Source organism: Homo sapiens, chromosome 5, assembly GCF_000001405.40.
Source record: "Homo sapiens chromosome 5, GRCh38.p14 Primary Assembly".
In the NCBI taxonomy this organism is placed as follows: domain Eukaryota; kingdom Metazoa; phylum Chordata; class Mammalia; order Primates; family Hominidae; genus Homo; species Homo sapiens.
The window spans coordinates 38,782,271-38,797,060 of NC_000005.10; the positions used below are offsets into that span (position 1 = coordinate 38,782,271).

Genomic DNA, 14,790 nt, shown 5'->3' on the forward strand with positions numbered 1-14,790 from the left:
GATCAGCAGCTGAGAGTTGCAGATGGGAGATTTAGTTTCCATTTCCTTCTCACACACACCCACATTCATAAAGTGGCCTCCCCACAGTTGATGAGTTTCCTGATATTAATAGAATACATGGGGCATAACAAACATGAACTTACTTGCAGAAGTATACAGTGTGGCCAGAATGAATGTCACACTTACTCTCACCCAACCCCTAAATATGACTTTCAGAAACTGACTTAATTTTCAATGTTTCTAAAGACCCAGGAAAGCCACTGGGTAATTTTTCTGTCTCAATGAAAAAGGTATCAGCCACCTCTAAAACTCATGACTTCACCATTCTGCTAGATTGTTAACTCATTGTGGGCAGGAATTGACTTACTCAATTTCCTTCATATCTGGCCCTGGCTCTTGGGCCAGAAACCGCACACAGGAGTTGAAGAAAAACTGTGTATCAACAATTTTTTTCTTGTCTTTATCAAAAGAGAAGCTCATGTTTGGTTCTATGTCCCACAAAGCTCTTAGTTAATAGGGGTCCTTTACCAATGTCAACTAAGATATTTGAAAGTTTGTTCACTATCTTCATCAACATCCACTATGATTAGTTTTATGTTTAAAGAGCAACATCAAAAATGTGGATACTAAACCTTGTGTGAGCTTTGAACTTGCCAATCAGCTTTGAAGGTCAGAGGAAGTAGTTTGATAATAATGAGATCAAGAATTAAAAAATATTTTTAAGCTTTCTCTCAGAATTGAAGGCAGTAGGGGAGGGATACAGAAGTTCCGGAAATGGCTGACTGTGTAGACAAGATGGTGTGGTTTCAGAGTACAGCTGAATATATACAGCCAACCCCTTTTTTCCTCCTCCATTTAACAAACATTTGGTTGGCTGAGTTATAGAGCTTCCAGCTCTGCTTCAGAAGGTCTTTGTTTATCTTTGCAAGGACAATTAAGTGGCAGGAATGTGTAATATAGTGAAGCACTGCCAACACAAACAGTTCTCTTAAAACGTTATGTAGAAGTGGCTATTGTTGCTGGTGCTTCTGCAAGAGGCAGAAACCACTTGCTAATAGCTTAATTCTATTTCTCTGCAGACAAGCTGATCCTATTGCAGAAGAGGGACTATGTGGTCTGCTGGTTAGAGAGATGTACTGGAAGCCAGAATGGGCCCATATTTTACAACATAGCTGAGTAACTGACTCACTCTGTAACCCAGGGTTACATCTCTCAATCTCATGAGGCTTGTTGTCCATCCAGCTGGAAAATTTGGTAAGATGTTAGGCTGGACTGAAAATCATTTGTGGTGCAGCTGAGTTGCTTTTCCACAGGGACAGGATGAGACTGACAGGCCTGACTGAATAACAAAGCCCCGTGGACTGTGATTGGTAAAGGTAAGCCTCGCAAGATGCAAAGGGAGTCCAGGATGGTGAGAATATTCTATGAAGGACAGAGTCTTCTTTGCTGAATCAACAAATGCGTACTTCTAGTCTCTGTCCCCATTCAGCCTCACTCAGTAATCATATTTCTCTGTGAAATAGATATTGCCTGGATCAAGATCCCCAGCTCACCACTACAGAGTGACCGGGCTTAGGAAGGACAGTATTCTTCAGTTTCTGATATCTTCTTTGCTACAAGGATCTGCAAAGTTGGCAGATTTTAGGGTCAGGCTAGCTATGCTGATACAGGGATGAGCTGAGGAGAAGAGGAGCAAGCCATTTGCCTGCTTTCCAAAGTGGAAAGAGTTTACAAAAAACACATGCGCCTAAACGTAAAGATGATTGATTGAAAACTGGTAGGTTCAAAGAGAAAACAATTTGAGGAAGGGAATGTTTCTCCTCATAGGAAATTGACAGTTGGTGTTGCCTTTGGGTTTGTAAAGACACTAGAAGGTGTTCTAAGGATGGTGGCTTCCGATCCAGGGTCTGGAATTTATAATATTTTGGTAGGGCAGGATTGGCCTTTGAAGGTGAGACTTCAGCTAAAACCTACAAAAGTCCCAATAGGTGATATGTACTTTACTCTTCACCATCAAGGGAATTTCCAAAGAGCCTGGGAAACTGATAATTTTGCTTGAATTGGCTCTTGCATTCACAAGGCCAATAATGGTTGGTTTGTGTTTAAAGTACCTTTTGGCTAGGCTAAACCTAAACAGGTCAAAGGAGAATTATTTTGGAGCAAATGCAACATTAAGTGGGGGCCAAAAATCATAGGACAGCTGTGGATATTTGTTGTGAGAACTGTCGTTTACAATCTGCAGGCACCAACTGACAGAGTTGCGCATATTTATCTCCTCATCTTATCACAGATGAAAACTGTCATCTCTATAAGAGTGCCTAAAAAGGCACTGTGTACCGATGTGAAATCTGGCCTCTGGTTGCAGGACCTCATTCAATGTTTGAAGCCCTTTATGTCCACCATAGGAAGGGTATTTGGTTCTACCATTACTTTTAAAGAATCAAGAGGAAAACATTGCCAGCATCCTGGAATAATAAAAATTAAGAATGAGACTAAGAGGATAAATTCAGAGGAAGCCAAAGGAATAAATCCTTAAAAGTAGTATTTTGAGCCTAACTTACTTTATTAGAGAGATTGGGATGGCATTAGAGGACTTCCTAAGAAGCCTGCACTCACATAACTGACAGTCACCTGCCACTCACTCATTGATTTAGCAAGTTTTCATTTATTGCCATCTACTTGCATAGCACTGCCATAGGCACTGCACAGGATTTGAAGATGACAGACAGCATGGCAATCTGAAATGCATAAGGTTTGAACATATGCATAAAGTATCTATGATGCATGATTATATATACATATATAATATTATATATAACTTAGTGTATATACAGACTAAGGAATTCAGAGCAATATGTTATGAGCATTTTGTTCTTAAAAAGAGAGATTTAAATGAGATATTTTTAAAAAGATTTATTTAAATGATATTAAAGTGGAAAGACTAGAGAAATAACATTCATGACAAAAAGAATAGCATAAATAAGAGGGCAGAGGGCTGGGAATGCAAGATATGTTGGATAGATAGTTGGTTCTATGTACAGGAAGATCCATTAGGGAAATGTGAGACACAGGATTTGTAAGAAGCTTTGAATAATAGACTTCCTCCTATAGGCAATGGGAATAATTGAGTGTTTGAGTCATTCATTGATTAATTCAACTACCATTGATGGAGTACCTTACATGTCTCAGATCCTTTGCTAGGCTTTGGACACGTTTTTAAAAAAGCAAAAATGTGTCCCTGCCTTCAATGCACTTATGTTCTAGTAGAAAAACATTTTGTAAACAAATAATTGGTCAAAAGTGGTATAATAGAGGTATACCTTTGATATGGTTTGGCTGTGTCCCCACCCAAATCTCATCTTGTAGCTCCCATAATTCCCACAAGTCGTGGGAGGGACCTGGTGGGGGATTATTGAATCATGGGGTTGGGTCTTTCCCATGCTGTTCTTGGGATAGTGAATAAGATCTGATGGTTTTATAAAGGTTTTCTGATGGTTTTCTTCACCTTCTACCATGATTGTGAGGCTTCCCCAGCCATATGGAACTTGAGGCCATTAAACCTCTTTCCTTTATAAATTACCATGTCTCAGGTATGTCTCTATTAGTAGCATGAGAACAGACTAATACAGTTAATTGGCACCAGGTAGTGGGGTGCTTCTGTAAAGATATCCAAAAATGTGAAAGTGGATTTGGAACTTGGTAACAGGCAGAGGTTGGAACAGTTTGGAGGGCTCAGAAGACAGAGAGATGTGGGAAAGTTTGGAACCTCCTAGTGACTTGTTGAATGACTTTGACCAAAATGCTAATAGTGATATGGACAATAAAGTCCAGGCTGAGGTGGTCTCACAAGAAGATGAGGAACTTTTTGGGAACTAGAGCAAAGGTGACTCTTGCTGTTATTTAGCAAAGAGACTGGTGGTATTCTAACCCTGCCCTAGAGATTTGTGGAACTTTGAACTTGAGGGAGATGATTTAGGGCAACTGGTGGAAGAAATTTCTAAGCAGCAAAGCATTCAAGAGGTGACTTGTGTGCTGTTAAAAGCATTCAGTTTTATGTATTCACCAAGATATGGTTTGGAATTGGAACTTATGTTTAAAAGGGAAGCAGAGCATAAAAGTTCAGAAAATTTGCAGCCTGACAATACTATAGAAAAGAATAACCCATTTTCTGTGGAGAAATTCAAGCAGGCTGCAGAAATTTGCAAAAGTAACAAGGAGCCAAATGTTACTTACCAAGACAATGGGGAAAATGTCTCCAGGGCGTCAAAGACCTTCACAGCAGCCCCTCTCATTACAGGCCCAGAGGCCTAGGAGGAAAAAAATGGTTTCATAGGCCAGGCCCAAGGCCCTCCTACTCTTGCAGCCTAGGGATTTGAGGCCCTGCCTCCCAGGTGCTCCAGCTGTGGCAAAAAGGGGCCAAGATACAGCTCAAGCCATGACTTCAAGCCATGACTTCAGAGGGTGCAAGACCCAAGCCTTGGCAGCTTCCACATGGTGTTGAGCTTGTGAGTGTGCAGAAGTCAAGAATTGAGGTTTGGGAACCCTTGCCTAGATTTCAGAGGATGCATGGAAATGCCTGGATGTCCAGGCATAAGTTGGCTGCAGGGGTGGAACCCTCACGGAGAACCTCTGTAGGGCAGTGTGGAAGGGAAATGTGGGGTAGGAGCCTCCACAGTGAGTCCCCACTGGGGCACTGCCTAGTGGAGCTGTGAGAAGAGGGCCTTCATCCTCCAGACCCAAGAATGGTAGATCCACCAACAGCTTGCACTGCGTGCCTGAAAATGCCACAGAGGCTCAATGCCAGCCCATGAAAGCAGCTGGGAGGGAGGCTATACCCTGAAAATCCATCAGGGTCAGAGCTGCCCAAGACCGTGGGAACCCACCTCTTGCATCAGCGTGACCCGGATGTGAGACATGGAGTCAAATGAGATCATTTTGGAGCTTTAAGATTTGACTGCTGTGTTGGATTTTGGACTTGCATGGGGCCTGTAGCCCCTTTGTTTTGGCCAGTTTCTCCCATATGGAATGGGTGTATTTACCCAATGCATGCATCCCCATTTATCTAGGAAGTAACTAACTTGCTTTCGATTTTACAGGCTCACAGACAGAAGGCACTTGCCTTGTCTCAGATTATACTTTGGACTGTGGACTTTTGAGTTAATGTTGAAATGGGTTAAGACTTTGGGGGATTGTTGGGAAGGCATGATTGGTTTTGAAACGTGAGGACATGAAATTTGGGAGGGGCCAGGTGTGGAATGATATGGTTTGGCTGTGCCCCACCCAAATCTCATCTTGAATTGTAGCTCCCATAATTCCCACCTATTGTGGGAGGGACCCAGTGAGAGGTAATTGAATCATGGCAGTGGGTCTTTCCTGTGCTGTTCTCATGACAGTGAATAAGTCTCATGAGATCTGATTATTTTATAAAGAGGAGTTCCCCTACACAAGCTCTCTCTTGCCTGCTGCCATGTAAGATGTCCCTTTGCTCTTCTTTCATCTTCCACCATTATTGTGAGGCCTCCCAGCCATGTGGAACTGTGACTCCATTAAACCTGTTTCCTTTATAAATTACCCAGTCTTAGGAATGTCTTAATAGCAGCATGAGAACAGGCTAATACAACCCTTAAGCTGAAGATAAGAATGATGAATAAATATTAAAGTCTAGTTAGTTGAGTTGTTTATCACTGTTGTATGGATCAGCAATTATGAAACTGCTTTCAGTATATTCTAGGATTAAACAGGTAAATATATTTAGGATAACAGGGCCAGATTTCTCACTGTCAAAGAACAGTATGTTGAATTAGAACTGGAAGTATCAGTATAAATTCATGATTTATATCGATACATATTTATCTATTTTATAGATGGTTGAGTTTTCTTTTTTTTTTTTTTTTTCTTGAGACAGGGTTTCGCTCTTGTTGCCCAGTCTGGAGTGCAATGGCTCAATCTCAGCTCACTGCAACCTCCAACTCCTAGGTTCAAGCGATTCTCCAGCCTCAGCCTCCCAAGTAGCTGGGATTACAGGCATGGGCCACCATGCCCAGCTAATTTTGTATTTTTAGTAGAGACGGGGTTTCTCCATGTTAGTCAGGCTGGTCTTGAACTCCCGACCTCAAATGATCTGCCTGCCTTGGCCTCCCAAAGTGCTGGAATTACAGGCATGAGCCACTGCAACTGGCTGATGCTTGGGTTTTCTAACTAAAGCAAAGGACCAATAGATATTATTTTACTTCTATATCTATATATCAACAGGTATATAGACATGTTATATCTACATCCACATGGATATAGATGTATGCATAGAGGTGTATACACATATGTCTATTTCTTACGTCCCTGAGAAGGCCTCATAGCAATTACAGTTCAGTAGCAATGAGCACATATAGTGCACAGATTTTTTTGTCTCTAAATACTACACTATTCTCCACTGAAAGAAAGCAGGGTCACTTGAAGATACAGCTTATTTCATGGCTAGGACAGGAAAAGTTCAAGATCAGCCCGGAATATCATCTTGGGAAATAAATAAATTCTCAAAGAATAGAGACACAGAAAGATGTTTGAAGGGGCTCCCATTGACAAACTTGGGATAATTCAAGCATCCGAATAAATAATATTTACAGATTACCTACCAAAGAAAATGGAAACCCATAAATTCATACTGACTTAAATGAGTCAATGAATGAAAGAATAAATGAGGGATGAGGAAAAGCTTCTCCCTTTGTAGAATGCCATGAAATAAATATAGAAAGAATAAAAGAGTTTCAAAATCACTTTACAAAATTTTTGCAGTGATTGATTCATGAAGAATCACCAACAGTTGCTAAAACTAGTGTACAAAAGTTTGACATGCAACAAGATATCTCCATAGTCTCAAAATATCTTCTCACAAAATACTTATTAATGACAAAAGCAAATGGTAAATTTAACAAGGAGAATCTGGCAAATACCTCTGGTGCTTCATAATCTAATTTAACATTACCAGTAGTGGGACAAACTGACACCATGTTTCCACTGACATGATGCACTAAGAGGGACGCCACATGACATCTGTGACGCTCCTGAAAAAATACTTCAGCTCACTCACATTGTAAGCAAACATTACAGATACCTGAGTCAGGCTTTCCTCTGATATTCTCATATTACTCTGTGCATATTTCTAGTATTGTATTTATTATATGTACAACAAACCTGCATTAATTGGGTCTGCTTCCTCCTTGACTGTGGTTGTTAGGGTCAGGGAGAGAATACTATTTATCTTTGTACACCTCTAAATATACTGCCTTCCTATGCATAACTCTATAATCACATTTATTATACTGTATTTAAAATACTTATTTTCATGGCTTTCTACCTTGCTTTGGTTAGAAAACCCTACAGTGGCTTCAACAGTAAAGGCATTTGATTACCTCATAAAAAGTAAGTCTGGACATAGGCGATTGCAAAGTTGGATCATCATGGCAGTGATGTCATGGCACTGGTGAGCATCTCTATGACAGGCCTTTCTCTCAGTTTCAAGAAGGCTGCCAGAGCTCCAAACATCATGGTCTCATGCAACAGGGCCTCAACAAGTAAGGAAGTAGGTAGTTGGTTCCTATCTTTTATCAGAAGGGGAATCCTTCCCAAAATCCCCAGTAGACTTTCCCTTAGGTTTCATTCACATGCTCACTCCTAGACAAATTACATGGCATCCCTTCTGGCTGGACACATTATTGTCCAAACAAAATTGAGGTTCTGTTAACAAGAAAGGAGGGGGCAACTACTGAGAGGGCAGGCTTTGTGCCTGCTGTACTCCGCTACTAGGTTGTAACTTCTTTGATGGCAGGAACTGATTCTTACTCATTTTCCTTTTGTACCTCCAGAGTATCGCATAACACTGACAATAGGTGCTCAATTAGTGTTTGTTGAATGAATGAAAATGACTAAACATGGCATGATATTTAAAAAATAAGCATGGGGAACTAACAAAGTTACAACATTGTACAGATCTTACAACCTTGAATCCTGACTGTGCATTTTCAATTCCCTTCACTCAAGGTAACTAGAAGAGAAGTTGAAGTCATAAAGAGTTTTAATGTTTGGGGTGGTTAATCTGGCATGAGTAAGATGAAAAGTGAGATATTTATAGGCAGAGGGGCTGGTGTATCTGTTGGGATGCTATGTACTTTAAAATGGAAATGGTTGCAATTGCACATAACAAGGAATGCAGGGGAGGGGCAGGCCTGTGTGCCGCACAGGAGGAAGGGACACAAGAGAGTCTGCTATCACATCAGATGCCTCACATCCAGAGGAGGCAAAGGACCTGATGCCTACTTTTTAGAAGCAAGGAAATCATTCCCTAGAGGCAGATAGTAAATGTCCTCTCACATCTCTTTGGGCAGAACTGGGTCATCTGCCCATTCTTAGGTCAGTCACTGGAAAGGGGGGTGGGATTCATGAGATTGGTAGAGACTCACCATTCAGGGTGGGATGGGTTCTGGGGAGATTATCTGTATGGCTACAAGTCCAGTTTAGGAGTTAATGCCATACTATAGGTCAAGCAGTTTCAAAGCCTGAACTTGTTTTATTTACTGTGGTAAAAATGGTTGTAAAAGTAGGAAGTAAGAGATATTTTGCAAAGAGAAGAGTCATTAATCGAATATGGAGGAGGGAGAAACAAGTAAGATAGAGGAATCAAAGAAGATTTTGAGGTTGGGTTTCTCTTCAAAATTGATCTATAGCAACATCAGAAGGACGGCAGAGCCACTTACTGACTATTTCCAGAAACTTGGAAACTATTCCCAGACTTAAAGTTCAGTTGTGGTTAACAATGAACAAACAAACAAAACCCAAAGTAACCAGTAGAATGCAGGACTCAAAGCATTTTATTATGTGGTAAAATCAGGGTAAGGTCAGCTAAGAACAACAAATGCAATAAATTCTTCATGTGGCTTCATCTCCCAGAAGTCTGAAAAAATATAATAACTGTTCTCCTTATCAAAAGCCCTTAATTTTGACCCATCAGAACAAACTAGTTAGTTAAGAAAATAGCAACTAAAAGACAGTGGCAGCTTAAACTTTTGGGAAAATGGAGGAATATCATTAGCTCAGTTAGACATGAGCTTGCAATATTCGGAGGTAGATTTTCAAAGTTCAAAGGAAAAATAGAAGGTTGGGAGACTCCTATGAAGACATTCTGACAACAGCTCTGATGGTCCAAAACTGGGAGGGGGTGGTCGTAAGAATCAGGTAGCTGCCCAAGGTGCTCTCTGGATATCCATCAAAAGAGGGAAGGAGTCGTCACACGGTGGCCAAAACCTATAAAACTGGAGGTACATCCTGGCAATGATTCTTAGTAGCCGTGTGGCCTTAGACAAGTTGAATAACTGCTCTGTGCCTTCATTTCCTCATCCTTAAACTGTGTGTGAGAAGTCTTCCTCCACTGGGTTGTTGTAGAACCAAACAGATAATGTAAGCAGAGCACATTAGCATCGCGCCTGGTGCAAAGTAAGCACTCTATGTATACATAGTATTTGTTGCTGCTGTAGAAACAACAGTAAGTATTTCACTTGTAAAAATATTTTTTAATAAAGGGAGGGAAATTAGGGGAAAAACCAGAAACATTTTCCATAATTCCATTTTCCATATAAATCTCCTTGGCATGTTTAGAGAATTCAATCAATAGAGAAAAACACCAAAGGAAAATCTGAAATCTCCTGCCTCTATGAAACCTGCCCCCCTCCTCTTCCCAAATGTAACCACTACTAAAAGTTTCTTATGATTACTTACAGAATAACATTCCAAAGTTTTATTTTTAATTAAGTGCTAAATAAGATTCAAAAAAAATTAGTGGTAAGTCAAACAGGGTGTGTGATGCAATATAAATTGATGGCAGAATCAAAAGGGAAACATATTCAATTCTCCTCTCTTTCTCTCCCTTTATTTCTGCCTCCCTTTTTTCTTCCCTCCATTTCTCCCCATCTCTTTTTCTTTTTCCCCCTGTCAAGTAGAAGACTGAGGTTCCCTGGCCTGAGAGAAGTGAAGATCCAGCCATGAGAGGAGCTAGCCAGTGAATCTGGCCCATCTCAGTGATATTAAGCTTGAGGGCCATTGTGAATTGAATTTCATCTCTGGGAACTGAGAGGACCCTGGATGAAGCAACTTATTGTGTTTAAGGAACTTTGGTGATGGCTGAAAACTGGATACCAATTTTCACAAAGTGGATCAATGTGGATGCCCCAGATAATAGTCACTGCAGTACAGAACTTGAGCAACCTTCTAGAATGGGTTACTAAAGAAGATGCTAGTGCCTGGAAAGGGAGATTTTGAGAGCCAAGTTGGATTGGACCATCCTCACTCTCTTTCCTCACAGGTTTAATTGACTTGACCATGAATCAATAAGGAATGCTGTAGACATAGTGGGCCTGGATTTCATGAGGCAGTTGAAAATGTTTCCCATGAGATCCTCATGGGAACTAAATAATATGGCCTGAGGGATAAGGAGATTTATGTGGCTTTCTAGTTAGCTGAACTGCCAGGGGTAAGGGGTGCTGGGAAATGGTCCGTGTGTCAACCTGCCCAAGATCTGGAAAGTGGTGTCCAGAAAACATCGTCTGCCTCATCTTATTCAACAGGAACATGGCTGGCAGGAGATTTTAACCTCATTTGACATACTTTTTTTTTTAAATGTAAGTGTGTTTTAATGTTAATGCGTAAATGAAAATTAACTGTTAAGAAATTTAATATCCTTTTGATCCCTCCCCATTCTTGCCAAGATAAACTCCAATCATGTAAGTTTCCTATGCTTGATTGATTGCAAAATGGCTACAATTATTCATCCCTTCCTATATAGAGAGACTTTGCAATAAGACTTTGTAGCACCTGCCATCAAGAGGTAGTCTATGCCCTTGTCCTTTGAATCTGAAGTGCTCTTGTGACTTGCCATGGTCAATAAAATGTGGCAGAAGTTATGATATGCCAGTTCCAACCCTAGGTCTGAAGTGGCCTGTATGTTGCCACTCTTCCTGGCAGCACTGTGTGAACTAGCTCAGGCTAGCCTGACACACAGCGAGAAACACATTGCCTTCTCACCCAGCCAATGGCCAGCAAGTGAGTGAGGCCACCCAAGACCAGCCAGCCCCCAATCTGCCACTCGACCCCTGACACATTAGTGAGCCCAGTGGTGATCACACAGGCCCCAGCCAGTTCACCAGAGCTTTGCAGCTGACTGGTTGACTCGTGAACAATAATAAAGGTTTATTGTCTGAAGTCACTAGGTTTTGAAGGTGTGTTGTTAGGTAGCAAAAAGCCAATTATTACAGCCCACACATATCTGTCCTACTTCAGCTCTTGTCTTGCTACTCTGGCCCTTATATTCCATGCTCCAGTCATGCTGTGAACAAACTGTATGTCAATTCCTCCACAGCTTTGCAAACACAAACCTCTGCCTGTCTATCCTCCCTCCTCCCATACCCATCCTTCTTCATCTGGCTAATTCCTACTCATCTTCTGAGACTCATCTCAGGCACCACTTTTGGTAGTCTAGGCAGCATTCTCTGAGCTCCCTGTCCCCAGACCTCTTCACACCCTGGTTGAGTGCCTCTCCTCCTGCACACTGCTGATGGTCCTAATCTATGCCTTTGTCAAGCACTTATCCTAAATTAAAATCATCTGTTTACTCAGCTTCCTATTTTCATTTCACTATGAATTCTTTGAAGGTAGCAATCGTGTCCTTTATCTGTTATTGCAACAACTAGTACAATTCCTCAAAAATGGTGCTCTGTAAATGTTTGTTAAATGATATGAATTCAATTTTAAAATAATGAGTATATTTAGTTTTGAAAAGAGAAGTGTGTTAGTCCGTTTTCATGCTGCGGATAAAGACTTACCCGAGACTGAGCAATTTATAAAGAAAAAGAGGTTTAATGGACTCACAGTTCCACATGGCTAGGGAGGTAGAAGGCAAAAGGCACATCTTACATCGTGGCAAACAAGTGAGAATGAAAGAACCAAGCAAAAGGGGTTTCCCCTTATAAAACCATCAGCTCTTGTGAGACTTATTCATTACCACGAGAACAGTATGGGGGAAACCGCCCTCGTGATTCAGTTATCTCCCACCAGGTCCCTCCCACAACATGTGGGAATTATGGGAGCTACAATTCAAGATGTGATTTGGGTGGAGAAGCAGCCAAACCATAGCAAGAAGATATAAAGGGGCTGATAGAGTTAATAAATATACCATTAGGCTCGAGAATAGCCAGAGGTTACCAATTAGATCTTCCTTGCTCCAGAGGAACCAGTTGGTAAGTTTTAGTTCCTTTAGCCATTTATTTCCAGCAGGTAACATGTATTCCTCAAAACAGATGTCACCACTGACCAACACCCACTGTCTGTAAAGGAAAGCTGAATAAAACCATGAGCACCCCCATAAAGTCTTTCATTTGGATGGGAACAAAGATCATGCAGTATAACGTCTCCAAGGCCCATCTTCCATCCACCACTGAGTTACTGATTCTATCATTTTAAAGAAATCAGAAAGAGGCAATCCTAAATATAATGAATTCATGGACAGCATTTATTGATGACCTCAAGGAAAAGACTTCAAAGCAACATAATCATGTTCTTCAAATCACTTTTTTGAGTCGTCATATGGGAGAAACTTACTCTTTATGGCTCTGAAAGGCAGAGTTTGGACTAATGAAGGTAAAATTCAGACAGATGCATGTATGGATTTCCTAATAATTAGATGTGTTTTAAAAAATGGAGCAAGAAGATCTTGAGAAACAGTGCTCTCATTGTCCCTGGAGATGTCCGAAGAAAGATTGTTCGATAACGCATCTGCAAAGCTGCAAGAAAGTTTCATGCCATGGGAACAGGTGGAGTTCCTTCTAGTTTGCTATTAATCAAAAGACAGCTCTATTTGGGGATTGCCACAAACCATTTCCCACAAGCTGTCTGCTAGAAAACTACATCCCCTGGCCAGAGGTGACCAACTGGGACTGGGGGTGGACATTTGACATCATCCTGAACTTCAAAGACAGAAATTTGGATACGGTGGGGGACTGCCTTCTGGCATGCCCATAGAGGAATGTAGGAAGCTTCTCTGCAGAGAAATACAGTAATAAATGCGGATTGAGCAACTACTGTGTGCCAGGCACTGTGCTAGGCATGGGCAAGCCTGAAGGAAACAAATCAAACAAAATCCTCGCATTCATGAAACTCACATCTAGTAAAACCCAGGAAATAAAAATGAGAGGGAGGGAGAAAACAGAAGAGCATGGCCCCTGAATGCTGTCTTTGGGTTCTGTGAGAAACTCTAATGATTCTCCAATAAACTTCCTGCTTTGCTCACATCTACTGGAGCTGGTTTCTGTTGTTTGCAACCCCAGTGATCTTAACTGAGACCCCATACTAAGTACATTGACTCAGTATCCATTCTCTTCACAAGCACTTTGGGGCAGGAAAAGAAAGGGACCTTTTTAAGATCAACAGGTCAGAAACTAGTGAAAAAGAAAAAAGATTTTTTTCTCACCATCATTCCATATATCAGTTCTTTAATTTAGGGTCTTGGGGTTTTTAGTTGCCGTAATAAGGAAGACCAAGGGAAGCTGTTTCCCCAGATATTCAGGATGGCAGAGCAAAGGTTATATGATAGGCAGAGTTTTATGTTCTCTACCGCATCCAGGTATTATTATTATTTTATATTTCTACTTAACTGCATGATAAGCAAGGAAGTACATTCTCCACCCAGGCTTATAATAATAAATAAAATCATTCCAAAACAAGAAAAGAAAAAAAAGCTTTTCCCCCCAAGAGCTTAGCGGGGAGAGGCAAATGAAACAATACAAGACAGAGATGTGGCCTGAGATGAGTCCAGGGAGTTTTAAATAGACCGTGTCAGAGCATGGACGGGTTTCCAGGGACTTTTTGAGAAAGCAGAGAGAGCTATTTGGATGGCGACCAGGCTGGCGTGCTCAGCAGAGGGGTACAGGACCTAGGACAGTGTGTACCCTATTCTCCAAGGAGCCTCTGTTCCTTAGACTTTTAGTTTTGGAATCTTCAACTTATTAAGTAACATGGTAAGAGAGAGATTAAAAAAAAACTCACCTTGCCATTTTGCCAAATCTGCTTTTATTTTAATGACTCCTGCAGTAAGATGCAGATCTTCTTTCAATTTTCTACTTGCTGATTAATTTCCTGTTGACTCTCAACATCACTGAAAACCTTTTGGATGAAGCAGAAATAGCCTTAATGCAAGTGATTCTTGGTTAGGGGGTTGAGTCATCTGGGGCCAGGCTTTGGGGGCTTCCTCTGAGCTGAGGGTGGGTGGGTGGTTTTTGGCACTTGTTAATTTAATATGTGTCCATTTGTAAACATATTCAACACAGTCATTCTCCTGCTTCCCATGTCCCGGGAGGGTTGGCCTCATGTTCATCTCTGGAGGCCCAGTACTCACCCATGCTATGGAAATCTCTCTGCCCTCATTCTCCTGCCCAGCCACCCTTCTTTGACTTTTTCCATCAGTGTTGACATTTTCCTTTCTTTCCCCTTGTTAAGGTTCCTAAGTTTAAGGCCTTCCACCCAGCTATCACTACCTCCTGGAAAGAAAACATTTTATGTTAGTCATGAACACTTGGGTGTGAATTTAGGTCAGGTGACTGCTCCTAAGGGCACTTGAGTATCAACCCTTGCATCTGAAGGGTAGGGAGGTAATAGGCCAGTTGTTCAAAGATTCCACCCTACTTCTGGTTCTGCAGCTAAATGGCTGGGTTTCCTGGGTCAGATACTTTACTTCATGGAGCCTCAGTTTTAAAA

The 14,790-nt window shown here is 41.2% G+C and overlaps 2 long non-coding RNA genes across 3 annotated transcripts in view; one reads left to right on the forward strand and one right to left on the reverse strand.

Annotated features, from left to right (window-relative positions):
* The window catches only part of OSMR-DT (OSMR divergent transcript), a 152,617-nt gene that overhangs the window by 89,058 nt on the left and 48,769 nt on the right, over positions 1–14,790 (reverse strand). Inside the window, exon 2 of the long non-coding RNA NR_109951.1 lies at positions 14,083–14,199. This is a non-coding gene — a long non-coding RNA (OSMR divergent transcript). The remainder of the gene's footprint in view (positions 1–14,082; positions 14,200–14,790) is intronic.
* On the forward strand, positions 1,025–13,328 carry LOC107986414 (uncharacterized). 2 transcript variants are annotated; one of them, XR_007058740.1, is made up of 2 exons: positions 1,025–1,254; positions 9,987–13,328. It is a non-coding gene; the product is annotated as an uncharacterized LOC107986414 (long non-coding RNA). The 2 variants fall into 2 exon arrangements; XR_001742645.2 differs by having other exon boundaries at positions 1,062–1,376.